The sequence below is a fragment of the Homo sapiens genome, chromosome 13, assembly GCF_000001405.40.
Source record: "Homo sapiens chromosome 13, GRCh38.p14 Primary Assembly".
In the NCBI taxonomy this organism is placed as follows: domain Eukaryota; kingdom Metazoa; phylum Chordata; class Mammalia; order Primates; family Hominidae; genus Homo; species Homo sapiens.
The window spans coordinates 111,289,947-111,302,867 of NC_000013.11; the positions used below are offsets into that span (position 1 = coordinate 111,289,947).

The following is a 12,921-nucleotide window of genomic DNA, read 5'->3' on the forward strand; positions in this document are numbered from 1 at the left end:
AGAGAAATAGAGAAACGGAAAGGCCTGGGTAACCCATCAGAAGGTGGAATAAATATGTGTATAATCACACAATAACGTCTAAGTACAAATTGTTGTGATGAAAGGTACTACATTTTTATAATTTGATATTGATCATGTTTTAAGTAATAGGCTGTAAAATGTGGCCATAAATTTTTGGATTTTGAATTTGAGATTTTTTTGTCATCTCAATTTCAGTTACTTGAAATAAAATTTTAACCAAGTAGTCTTAGATGAACAGACCAGGTTCAGTTGGCCACCCAACCGTGTCTGTGAGTTCTGCATTTGTGAATTCAACCAACTGCAGATAACTACTCAGAAAAAAGAAACAATAAAAAGTAACAATATAACAGTAAAAAATAATACAAATAAAAAATAATTATACTTATAACAGCTATTTATATGGCATTTACATTGTATTAGGTACTATAATTTAGAAATGACTCAAAGTATATGGGAGGTTGTGTGTAGGTACAATGCAAACACCATGCCATCTTATATCAGGGACTGGAGCGTCTGAGGATTTTGGTGTCCAAGGGGAGTCCTGGAACCAATCCCCTGTGGGTGAGGGCCGACTGAGGGCTGAGCTTTGTATGTGTCATAGTGCCCACCACATTTCTTCATGACCAGGGTCCTGTGATACGCTGCGGCTTCACGGCCCCTGGCTGCCTAAGGGGAATGGCCCACAATTCCTTTTCTTTTCTTGTCACATTGCCTGTATTCTGTACTTCCATTTCTCCTGTGCAAGAAAAGCATTGAACGATACATTGATTTTTGTTTTTAATTCATATTATGGGCAAACCACTCTGGGGCTTCAGGGAGCTTGCAGTCATATATGCCCTTTAAACCTAACACTCAAAACTAGGGAGTAATAGGAGAAATTGCTCGCTTGTGCTGGAAAGGTGGTATACTTACTCAAGGTGTCTGGAAATGGGATCATAGTGAAAGCAGCTCTTTTTACATTAAATGCTTAGTAAAACGGGTTTTAGAAGGATAATATATTTTACCTAAAATGCAGCTCTGTTCAATACACACATTTGGATGCCAAGAAGATTTTGTAAACCAAACTTCCTTGGTATTGATTTCTAACTCCAGGAAGTAACGGCCCTCACAGTCTGTTATGATGTAGTTCTCGCAGTCTGAGAACAGAGGTCAATTTGATAGAAGCAGGAGTAGGGAGGGGCCAGGGCTACTGTGATTTGCCTTCACCTAGCGAGGGGCATCCCCGCCTCTGCATGGAGGGAGACCCTGGCGGCCCAGCCTGCCTCTCAGCCCAGGTGCCTGGCCATGGGCAGTGCTCATAGTTGCCAGCCACTCGTGATTATTTCTCTCCTGACATGTTGTGCCACTTCCTCTGTCATTCTCCTTTTAACACTGGGACGTTGCCAGTTCATGTCTCTCTTCCTGACAGCAGAGGGTCTGCATTGGGGTGGCCGGTGTTGCCAGCAGACCCAGCTTCCCACTGCACCCTGCCTGCGGGCTAAGCTCCAGCGCGCCCTGGGAGCAGGGGGTGGGTTCTGGGGCTGTGGGCCCTGCCCAATCCTTTTCTGCCCTCTGAGTTCTCACAGTGGTTATTGATTGATCAGGTAAGTCCAGACCCACTCTCAGGTTTATGGTCTTGGCAAAGAGCCAGCTGAAAAAGCCCGTCAGAATTCCTTTGAAATTATTTTGCATTTGATACATCTGTTTATTGATAGGAAACAATTTTTAATTAGCCACATAAATGGCACCTTTCCCAAATGATGTCCTAAATGAGACTATTTGTTAATTGAATGTGGAATAGAATTGATTAATTGCCACATGTCTATAGAATAATCTTTTGGACATGGGTGTGATTTGTAAAAGATTTCTTAAATGAGGGCTTTAGAGCAATATCTTTTTTTAAAAAAGCAGTTTGAAACATTGTATATTAGGTTTAATTAGATAATAATCGATCTAGTTTTATTCTAAGGGTTTTGCTAAGTTCGTTATTGTGAAACCCAGCCGTATATAAGGAAAAATATGCATTGTTGCCAATTTTTAACACTATTTTCTCTTTTCCTTCTCTTCCCATCACCTTTTGCTTTTGTTCCATGTTTTGGTTGTGGCTCTTCCTGTCGTTCTCCTCCTCACCCCCTGCCTGTCGCGCCTGTCCCTCCGCCCGCCCGTCTTAGCATGGCAAGGCACTGACCTGATGCATAATCACGTCTTGGCTGATGATGACCAACCAAGCCTAGACTCCCTGGGGCGTCGCAGTAGCCTTTCTCGTTTGGAGCCTTCAGACCTCTCGGAAGACTCTGACTATGACAGTATATGGACAGCCCATAGTTACAGAATGGGTTCTACATCTCGTAAGAGCTGTTGCTCATATATCTCTCACCAGAACTAATGCACTTCTGAGCTTTTCTTAACAAATGCTTGTTGTATCGCAGCCTGCTTTTCTTAGATGTTTTCTTGCTGTTCCTTGTCTCTTTTATGTGATATTTTAACAACTTTTGAGAGTGTTCCTGATATTTCCCATTGTACTTTGTGGAGGCTTAACTGCCGATGCGAGTATACATTCGAATGACTGACTATTGGAGGGAGGTGGTGTGTTCACGTGAGCCTACATCCGAGGGTGCTCTTCGTAAGGGGTAGTTGTTGTTTTATAGCTCCAAATGGTTTTTTTATTCTCAGTGTAGCAACTGTTTGATTTCTTTCTGGATACAGCTGTATGAACACTTTTCTATTTTATACTGAAATCACACAGGTTTGTGATCTAAGTGCCAGAACCATGGAGGAGACTCTGGCCTTATCTGTAGGGACCTAAATTTTTTAAGTGCTATGAACACTGATCAAGTAGTTGTGGAGAGATGAGAAGAATATATGCAGCAAAGGTGCTGTGAGCCCAGTTCCAACGGCTGTGTTCTGGTAATCGTGCAGAACAGCATGTGGGCTCTGGGCCTTGGCAGGTGCACAGACGGGCGGGCGTCACGTGTGTTCAGAGCTTGTCTCCACCTCACGGCTCTGTGCTCTTCTGTGTGCTGCGTTGTGGCCGTGAAGTGGGAGCTCTCCTTTCCAAAGGCAGAGCTTACTGTCATGGCTCAGATGTTCACTCGCATCTTCACCCCAAACTTCCCTGAATTGCAGTGATTTCTGTTATAAGGCACATAGCAAGCCTGTACCACTCTACAGTAAAATCTCTACACTAACAGTTTAAAGCCCGAAAGCTGAAGCATTCAGCCTCTGCAAGTGTAGACTACTGGACTGTAGTAGAGGCATTTGGAATACTTACAAAGTCAAGTGCTGTGGCTTCAGTTCCCCCGGCTCCCCACCCCTGACATCCATACTTATGTTGTCTGGAAGAGCCATGGACACATCATTATTTTCAGCAACCAGCTGCAGTGAAACTCCATTTACAGCAACCCCATAGTATAAAACCACAATGCCTCATTGTAATGGGATATTGAAGTTCATTGAAGAATTACTAGGTTGCCATGTGGCTCACTTATTTAAAAAAAAAAAAAAAAAACTCACCCGTTTTCCTGGGATTTGTTGTAAGGAGTTTTCACTGGCCTCACTCAGACCAATTTCTGCTTCAAAAAGCACTGAATGTGACCTGTTGCATTCAGTTGTAGCATCAAATCCACACCTAGTCATTGCTTGAGGGGCCAAATTGTGTTCTGTCCCATGCACGCTCTATTTGGTGTTAAAATGGAACCTTACGGTTGTGTTTTAAGTATTCATTGAAACCAGCTTCAGAAAACAAGATGCCATAGTAAATTGAGAATAACATTTTTTCCTTCTTCAGGGTGGCTGTAATTCCAGGTGGCCGTGATTTCTTTCTTCCCCACTGCCCACTCCTTCGCCAAACCCACGTATTCAGTGTTCTGATCTTGTTTGTGCAGAGTGAACTCTGATGCAGTATCAGTCTTGTCCTGGGAGCCGGGTCCTGCTGCTCACAAGCCCAGAGCTGCCAGGGAGCTCCTGGCAGTAGCACGTTGTTTAGAAAGTTGGGTGGCTTCATTCAGCATGGAACAAGCTAATGGCACAGGAGACATCAGGGCAGCTGTTAATTCCAAATATTTGTTCCCAAGTAGCTACTGAACTGCTCACACCATTGGAAGATTTTGTATTTTCATACCAATTAGTAAAAATAAGAACATTGAGGAGCAGTCAGAGCCCAGTGTTAATCTCCGGCAGAGATGGGGTTTATGTATGTTCAGCCAGATAGTAAATGGGATTTTTGGAGAAATAAGATAACTACAAAGTTTCTATACTTACTATAAGTGGATTTAGAAGCGATTTTGGTTTTGTATTACATACGGTAGTCCTCTGCGTCAGGGAGCACTTTTTTGTTTGCCTCGAGACTACTCATTAGCGCACTGGCTAAGCTGCCTTTGCCTTCTCGTAGGCGTGGGTTGCCTGTGTCATGGGCTGTGTAGACCACAACACTCAAACACAGTTGCTGCACTTGGATTTTCCTTTAATACCAAGTATCATTTGGTTATCTTACTGGGACATTTTCATTGATATTCTATACACCAAAGTTTTGACGGTTTACCATCATTCCATTTTGTACCAGTTAAAGGCATTTTGATGATGCTTTTTCTTGATGCTAAGATCACTGCAGAAGAATAACCTGACCTTTTCTTTGCATTTGTTTTGAATGTCTAACACCATTAGCTTTTGTGATCTGGTTAAGAAGTATTAGTGCCACAAGCCTGAAAAGACAGTTCTCCTGTGGCAGTGGCGATGTGGCATCCAGAGGGCCATTGTTTCTACTTTTGTGGGACTTCAGTCATGCTGATAATAGAATCTTCTGTTCATACAATTCTGTAATATTTATTTGTACAGTTAGTATTCTAATGAAAGGATGAAGAGTCTGAACTAGAAGGTAGGTTTAAGCCATCACCAGGCCTTTGCAAATGGCCTAAATGGTGTTCCCTTTGAAATAACGCTTGCCACAAGTATATAATAAGCTATATTAATTGTGTTTTGCATAAAATTGCCAAAACACAGTAATGTGTATATAGTGGTATAAGATCTTGAAAAAAATCTCTATAATTGTGCTCTTTATCTGTGAATGGGAAAAGCCATTTTTAGTAGGTGACTACCATTTGAAAAACTCAATTGGATGTATATCTGAATGTTGCATTGTATTGTACAGTATGCATATTATTGTTTGTGGTTGCATATGGCAATGAAGTGTTTGTTTTATATTAAAAAAAACCTGTTATGTACAGTTGAAATAAATTTTGCATTTGCTAGCCCGTGGCTTTTAATATTTGTTACATGGGGGAGGGGAATAGCATAGTTTGCAGTGTAATATAATTTGGCTCTTCTACCTGAACGGAACATCTTCCAAAGGCAGGCAGGTGATAGATAGAACCCTTCTGTCTGCCCTGATAGAAAAGCTTGCACTCTCTTAGATTAGCCGTGTTCTGGACAAGACGAAGTCACTCCTTGTACATTTCTTATTTCATCTCTTTCCCGTTTCTTAAGAAGCTTTCAGTCACTGGCGGGTTTGTCTTCAGAAAGAAGCATTATTTTTTGTGTGTGCGCATAAATGGGAAAAAGCACAACTTTAAAATGTTTTTATTTAGACTAAGGCCAGTTTTTAATTTTTGTTTTATAAAGTGCTTATCCAGCTAAGAGAGTAATGAAGCAAAATAAAGGGAAAGGAAACGAAGTACCTGGTGGCAGGTATAGTGATAGGACAAGGTGCAGACAGTAAATGTAGAAAACTCTCTCAGCACAAGTTGGGAGTTTTCCTAAGAAAAGTAAATTAGACCCTTAGAGCCATAAATAACAAAATGGCCTAGATGACTTTTGGAGAGAGATTACTAAATCGTTTTTAAGTGTAGTTGTATTTTGCTCCACTGTGAATGTTATTTGATTTTCAGTTGATTAGAGATGCAGATTTTAGAAAAGATAATGAATTTAAGAAGGTGAATTATCCTGCACATGTCCTGGTTCACTGGCCAGATAGACAGGTGTTCTCTTCTGATGAACTTACCCTGTTTTTAGGCTTTTGGTACAGGCAGGCTTACACAAGCATGCATGCACACCACACTGGTGCCTGGGCTGGACAGTTGCGCTGCGTTGCTCCTGGAGCAGTTAGTTGTGTGTCGTCAGATAAGGCCCCAGAGTGGTGTCTAACAGCCAAGCGTGGTGGTCGCGAGCTGGCACTCGGGGCCCCAGGGGTTGATCAGCACTGTGTTGCTGCTGTAGCCAGTCATCTCGTCTATGAAATGGAAATGCTGGGTTAGATCTGTGTTTCTTAAACGAAGTTCCATAGTTCTCTAGAGATGTGTGACTATTTGGGGTGGGGGAGGGGCAGGGTTCTCAGACATCCCTAAAATGTTAAGTTTTGTGCTCATGTTAACACACATGTGTACCAGCCTTCTGTGGCTCACACCTCTGAGTGTTGCTGTGGGGTCCTGGTGCCCCCTGGGGTCTCCAGTCGTGTGGCACACAGCAGCCCCTGAGAGTGGAATGCTTGCTGCAGGATTTTTCAGCACTGGGCAGGCAGACACCGAGCATCTACAGGCACATTCTTGGAGTCCTCGAGTTTGAGAAGTGCTGGATTGGTGTTAAGTATAAATTATTTCATTATATTCGTGTTTTTCTTACTCCCACCTCCATACGGAAATAAGAACCAACCAGCTGTTTTGTGTATGTGGTTATAGAAATAGATTATAAGCTGATCTAGCACTTCTCAAAATGTTAGCCACAAAACCACAAGATGTTAATAATGATATTTAAAAGAAAAAAAGTTCAGCACTCAAATGCATTTCAGAAATGCTGAATGAAAGTTAAGTGAGTATTTTTATGGCAGACTTCATCAGAGCCTGTACTGTGCTAAGGGTGCGCTGTGATTCTCCGAGAAGTGTAGCCCACAAGATTTCCCGAAACGATGTGTTGTGGAACCCCTCTCATCTCCCAGAAACAAAACAGTTTGGGAAACACAGATCTTGACTGTGCTAGAACCATCATGAATGTGTTCATCTCTGTCTGAGCCTCTGTTATGGATTTTAAATAAAGCGAGAGAACATTATCGGATCATTCTGCTGTTAAATTGTTTTTCCATTCTAGGTAACTCAGGGAATAATGTGCTATGATGTCTCTAAAAACACTTAATAATTTCTGAGATAACTTGTTAAATCTGCTTTCTAAAACATCGTTCTTTAAAGAAGTAGTCAACTTACGTAAACCTGGCTAGAGAACATTTCTTTGTTGTTTTTTGAAAGGTAGTAAAAACTTTTCAATCATTTTAGAAAAACTGTATGTTGAAAACTAGGCAGATTATTAGAATTGCATAATTTCTAGGCGTGTTAATAATCCTCATTTACAAGCTTCCTAGTTCGCCATCAGATCCGTAAATGGCATTTTTCACATTGGTGCATTTCAGGAATCAAGCAGTACATCCTATCTGTGATACAACATTTTCCACCTTACATTTGTGTATCCCTAAATCCTTCTCGCATGCTTTAAGTGTAGCTGTAGAAATAAGACCTGTGCCGGGCACATACAGTAACCGTACCAGTTCTTAGAGGCTTAGTTCCTCCAATCATGCTACATAATGGAATGACTTTTACCTTTATGACTTCATCTGTTAAAAGATATTTACAAAATGTAATATTTAAATCCTCAGAACAGCTCCAGAGAATTAGTTTTGCCGTGCTTTGTAAGTCATGAAATTGAGACTCAGTGCTTAAGTGCTGTGCCCAGGTTAACTGAAAAGACTCACCACGAGGGGCGTCCTGGTTCTGGCTGGAGGCAGTGGACACGTGGCTCATGGCCTCACAACTCCCGTACGGAAGTCGACCCCGTGTCTGACCCATTTCTTTACAAAGTTGACATTCTTTGTGATCCTATTTTATGTCATTCGAAAATGTTAATGTTGGAAACAGATGATATAAACAGGTTGTCTAGGAAGCTAGAAGAGACAAAAATAATTGAAATACAGAATTTACTTTGCCTGATCCGCAGTTACATAACTTTTTCCAGTGTGTCTCATTAGTGAATCCATTTGAAGAAATGTGTAGCAAACAATGTGAGATACACAAGTGATGCTTTTGTGAATTTGACTCTGAAACAGTCATCAACTGTCTGGGCTCAAAGCAGGACAACTGGATAATTGGTGGGAAAATTAGTTGACTAAAATGTGCGATGTTATCAGTGGACTTCTCTTTGCAGGGAAGAGTAAGTGAAGCCATTTGATTTCTTCACATGTGGTATAAATATCTGAATCTTTATGAATATTCTGGATTTTCTTTGTTTCATTTTTTATTTTCTATGAAATTTCTGTATCTTTTGGGCAAATAGCACATGAATTAACATTTTCTGGTAGAAACATGGGTACCCTTTGTATTTGTATGAGAAACACTGGCAGCTTCTCCACCTGGCTGGCACCCCATGCTCTGCTGTAATATCCCTCCCACATCAGTTTCCTTCCTAAGCAGTATCTTCCCGTGTGGCCCACGTGTCTCAGCAGCATTACCCGTTAGCCAGGAAGGGCCCACCAGAAGGCAGCCCAGGGCCCACTACCCTCAGGGTCCTCTCCCGTGGCCTCTTGGAGCACAGGCACCTGGAGTGTCAGGAGTCCTTGCAGCCCAAAGGGCTGTCTCCGTCCTTGTCTCCTGGACCTGTAGAGATTCCTAGGGCTGATACTACCAGCCTAATGTTTTAAAAAACGTTTTTCTGAAATCATATCTTGCAGTCCTGTCTGAATCTTCTGTCCGAAAAGTTATTCCCGAGACATAGGTCACCGTGTGTGTGGGTGGGTGGACTGTGGCCCAGGGGACGCATGTGAGGAGCTGGGCCCTCTCCTTCACTCCCTGACAGTGTCAGGTCTGCTGCTGCCAGCTGGTAGCACAGTGGAGACACAACAGCATGAGGGGGAGGGAGGGTCGCCTTTGAAGGGGCATTTGGCCCACTTTAACAACAGCCGCAGGTGTGCCAGCCATGGCTTGTGACTGAATTTTAAGTGCTACATTTGATCCTAAGATCCTGCAGTTACCCTCATTTTCCATTATCGGTGTGGCAAGTGTCTCCTGAAGCTTGTGCCAGGTGACAGAGCAGCACTTGGTTGCTTTCCCAGGACGTCATCTTATCTTCTTATGCCCGCGAGGATGAAGGAGCAGTGTCTTGATTTTGTTCAGTCCCTGAATTTCCAGTTTCCCAGGGGTTCCATTCTGAGGAGTGGAGCAGGTTTTGCAGACGCACAAGGGGCAGCACCTGGCCAGTGAGCTCCAGGCCTGGTTCCTGTTGCACGCTGCTGTGGAAATAACAGTGGTGCCCTCGCGTGTCAGGAACGTCTTATGAGACATCTTAAGCTTTGGCATCATCCTTAACCTTGTTCTGCTCAGGGGAGCCTAAGCGTGCAGTAAAATGCTGGTGAAGCCATTCATTTTTTTTTTTTTTTTTTTTTTTGAGACGGAGTCTCGCTCTGTCGCCCAGGCTGGAGTGCAGTGGTGCAATCTCGGCTCACTGCAAGCTCCACCACCAGGCTTCACACCATTCTCCTGCCTCAGCCTCCCGAGTAGCTGGGACTATAGGCGCCTGCCACCACGCCCGGCTAATTTTTTGTATTTTTAGTAGAGACGGGGTTTCACCATGTTAACCAGGTTGGTCTCGATCTCCTGACCTCGTGATCCACCCGCCTCCGCCTCCCAAAGTGCTGGGATTACAGGCGTGAGCCACGGCACCCGGCTGAAGCCATTCTTTAAAATCCCGTCTTCATAAAACATTCGTATTGTACTGAGCTTTCCTGTGACAGTGAGGCTGCACAGCAAGTGCCTTTCTTATGATCTGACAAACTTTTAGGAACAAGCAAAAGGCGGGCCAGAAGAAAGACCCAGCAAGCGGAAGCACTGTAGTTTCCATAGTTAGCGAGCGTGTCTCCAACATGAGTGTCCCTTCTTCATGGAGAAATGTTTCTCATGGTACCGCTTGCAGGTGCTTGTGTTCTGTGATAGATTATAGCCTTCTGATTTGCATCTGGCATAATTTTTCAAAAATATAAATGGTACACGTTGTACCATATAATCTTCAAGAAAATATTTTCTTTAAGAAAAGATTTTCTCCCTTGCATCATTAAATACAATTTGATTCTCTTCCTCACCTTTTAAAATGAGTATTTTGATTTCCTAATTTCTAAAGTACATATTTTGCAACATTTATTGAGGGCCTTTCCCATATAAGCTCTTGTGTAGGTGTTGGTTAAATGACAGAAATGTTCTGACATTGTGAGCAGTTTGCTTTCATTTAGAAAAATGTTTATATTTTAGGAAATATAAAGTTTTCATAAAGGACCAAATAATGTTATTTTTTCTAAACCATGTGCTATGATGCTGTAATATCTTGATTATTAAATGTTGCTGTAGAGTAAAATGTTTTTATTGCCAGATCTTTGATGTATAAACACTCACTGTATATGTTCTGATTGGTCTCATATGTCTTTGCTGAAACTCTTGGAATAATGGCTCAAAATGGGATGAATATCCAGAGCAGTACAGTCACAACCTTTAACTTCCTCCCTGTTGAAAATGCTGGGGTTTCAACAATCCGTAATTCCGATTTGAAAAGGGCTACAGTTTCCTTCCCTCTCTGGCTTTGGTCATGAGGAGGCCTGGGCTCGGTAGACAGAGGTGAAGAGAACTGGTAAAAGATGCCCTCCTCTAGCTTGCCTGGATGAACGTTTTTAAATGCATAATTGCTAGAACTTAATATTTAAGTGACATGGTATAGTCAAGTTGTTTTTCTTCATTCTGCCATGGTATTCGCCTGAGGTTTATTTATTATTTTTTCATGATCCTAGGTTCACGCAAAGAATCTGCTCCACAAGTTTTGCTTCCAGAAGAAGAGAAAATTATAGTGGAAGAAACTAAAAGTAATGGTCAGACAGTGATAGAAGAAAAGTAAGATGTCTTCCGGTATTCTAAAGCAGATGTTTGACCTCTGCGGTGGGGTAGTAGAGTCCAGACAACTCCCTGAGGGCGGGGGTATGGCTTCAGAAGCTTCACTTTTTTTTTTTTTGAGACGGAGTGTCACTCTTGTCACCCAGGCTGGAGTGCAATGGTGCGATCTCAGCTCACTGCAACCTCCACCTTCCGGGTTCAAGCGGTTCTCCTGCCTCAGCCTCCCGAGTAGCTGGGATTACAGGCCTGTGCCACCACGCCTGGCTAATTTTTGTATTTTTAGTAGAAACGAGTTTTCACCCTGTTGGCCAGGCTGGTCTCAAACTCCTGACCTCAGGTGATCTGCCCGCCTCGGCCTCCCAAAATGCTGGGATTACAGGTGTGAGCCACTGTGCCTGGCCAGAGCTTCACTTTTAAAATGTCTTCATAGGCTGAAGTTGCCCTTGACTAGGCTTGAACCTGCCATGCACAGAGGTTGGCAGTTTTTAGTTGTGAATGTAGACAGTACATGGGTAAGGCAGAGCAGCTCCGTGTCCTCCTCTCAGCATCGTAGTGTCTCCTGGTAAGTTTTCGTGTGTCCTCTCCATGCCTCACCTTGTTCATGTGTGTGTGTTCTGTTTCCTGTTTCAGGAGTCTTGTGGATACCGTATATGCATTAAAGGATGAAGTTCAAGAATTAAGACAGGTACGTCATAATCCATCTTTAAATCTTTTTTTTCTTTTCAAATGGGAGAAAAGAAGAAAATTACATTAAAAATAAGCTGGCTGGGTACGGTGGCTCACACCTATAATCCCAGCACTTTAGAAGGCCGAGGTGGACAGATCACCTGAGGTCAGGAGTTCAAGACCAACCTCACCAACATGGCAAAAACCCATCTCTACTGAAAATACGAAAATTAGCTGGGCATAGCGGCAGGTGCCTGTAACCCAGCTACTTGGGAGGCTGAGGCAGGAGAATTGCTTGAACCTAGGAGGCGGAGGTTGCTGTGAGCCGAGATTGTGCCACTGCACTCCAGTCTGAGCCACAGAGCAAGACTCCGTCTCAAATAAAAATAAAAAGCTGATTGTCCATAAGCAAAAAACTAAAAGGAGGTCATGTCTTTGAGAAGTCCAGCAGATAAAATAATTGGTTGTCTCTAAAGTGACTTGTTTAAACTCTTTTTTTTTTCTTAACAATACTGATTTTGATGTCATAAAACATCGCAAATTCTGTTGGAAGAATAATTTAAAATATCGAAAGTTCTGTCTGGTGACAAATCCTGCGAGGCGCCCCTGAGATTAGCCTCTGCCACTGCATGGTCCTTGGCTCCCGAAGCCAGGTTAGCGAGCCAGAAGTGGCGACTAACCAAGGGTGTTCTGGGTATTGCACGGAATGTGAGTATGAGCAGCTTTGGTCCTCTGCCCAGCTAGGCGAGGGAAGGTTGGGGTGTTCATTGCACGGAATGTGAGTACGAGCGGCTTTGGTCCTCTGCCCAGCTAGGTGAGGGAAGGTTGGGGTGTTCTTTTGGCCGAGGAACAGCCTGAGAAGAGTTGTGGTCTGGGATAGAGAGCTGAGAGCAGGTTGCTGTGTGGAACTGGACATGTGCTGTCATTCTAAGCAGTGTCCGCAGGTCTTCCAGGTACACCTTTGCCTGGCTGGCAGGCTTCCATGTTCACGCTTTGCCCCTACCGGCAGCAGGCATCTGTTTGTGCATGCCTCCTACGTCCGAGACATGCCTGGGTTCAGCTGCACAGAGCAGGTGCTCGCCCACTTGCTCCTGCACCTGTCAGTGGCTGTTACTTCCAGTCCTTTCTGTAACTCTGGAAGGTGGTTATAAATGGACAAAAAGGCTGGATAGGAGCTGTCTCGTCCGCAGTTTCCAGCTATTTTCTTACGGTATGTTCTATAGAGATTCATTCATGGACTTAATAAGAGCCATTAGGACCATTTCCATCCCGGGAACAGCAGCACAGTCAGGAGCACCGCTGCCACCCTGTCCAGGTGTTTGACCTTCGTGGATCCCCACGACCTCAGAGCCCA

The 12,921-nt window shown here is 43.3% G+C and overlaps 1 protein-coding gene across 54 annotated transcripts in view, besides 1 other annotated feature; it reads left to right on the forward strand.

Moving 5' to 3' along the window:
• The window catches only part of ARHGEF7 (Rho guanine nucleotide exchange factor 7), a 191,116-nt gene that overhangs the window by 175,328 nt on the left and 2,867 nt on the right, over positions 1–12,921 (forward strand). For 23 of the 54 annotated variants that reach the window (XM_047430722.1, XM_047430726.1, XM_047430728.1 and 20 more), the window contains 3 exons: positions 2,172–2,348; positions 10,802–10,901; positions 11,532–11,586. In XM_047430722.1, coding sequence (XP_047286678.1) covers positions 2,172–2,348; positions 10,802–10,901; positions 11,532–11,586 — 332 coding nt within the window. Of the gene's footprint in view, positions 1–2,171; positions 5,250–10,801; positions 10,902–11,531; positions 11,587–12,921 lie in introns of those variants that run through there. The other 31 variants (XM_006719956.4, NM_001320852.1, XM_017020815.2 and 28 more) reach the window with 3 other exon arrangements.
• Positions 6,180–6,679: an enhancer, noted in NCBI's record as "H3K4me1 hESC enhancer chr13:111948473-111948972 (GRCh37/hg19 assembly coordinates)". NCBI's record gives its function as "activates a minimal SCP1, AML or CMV promoter by ChIP-STARR-seq in primed H9 embryonic stem cells {active_cell/tissue: H9 hESC(primed)}" and the evidence as "EXISTENCE:reporter gene assay evidence [ECO:0000049][PMID:30033119]".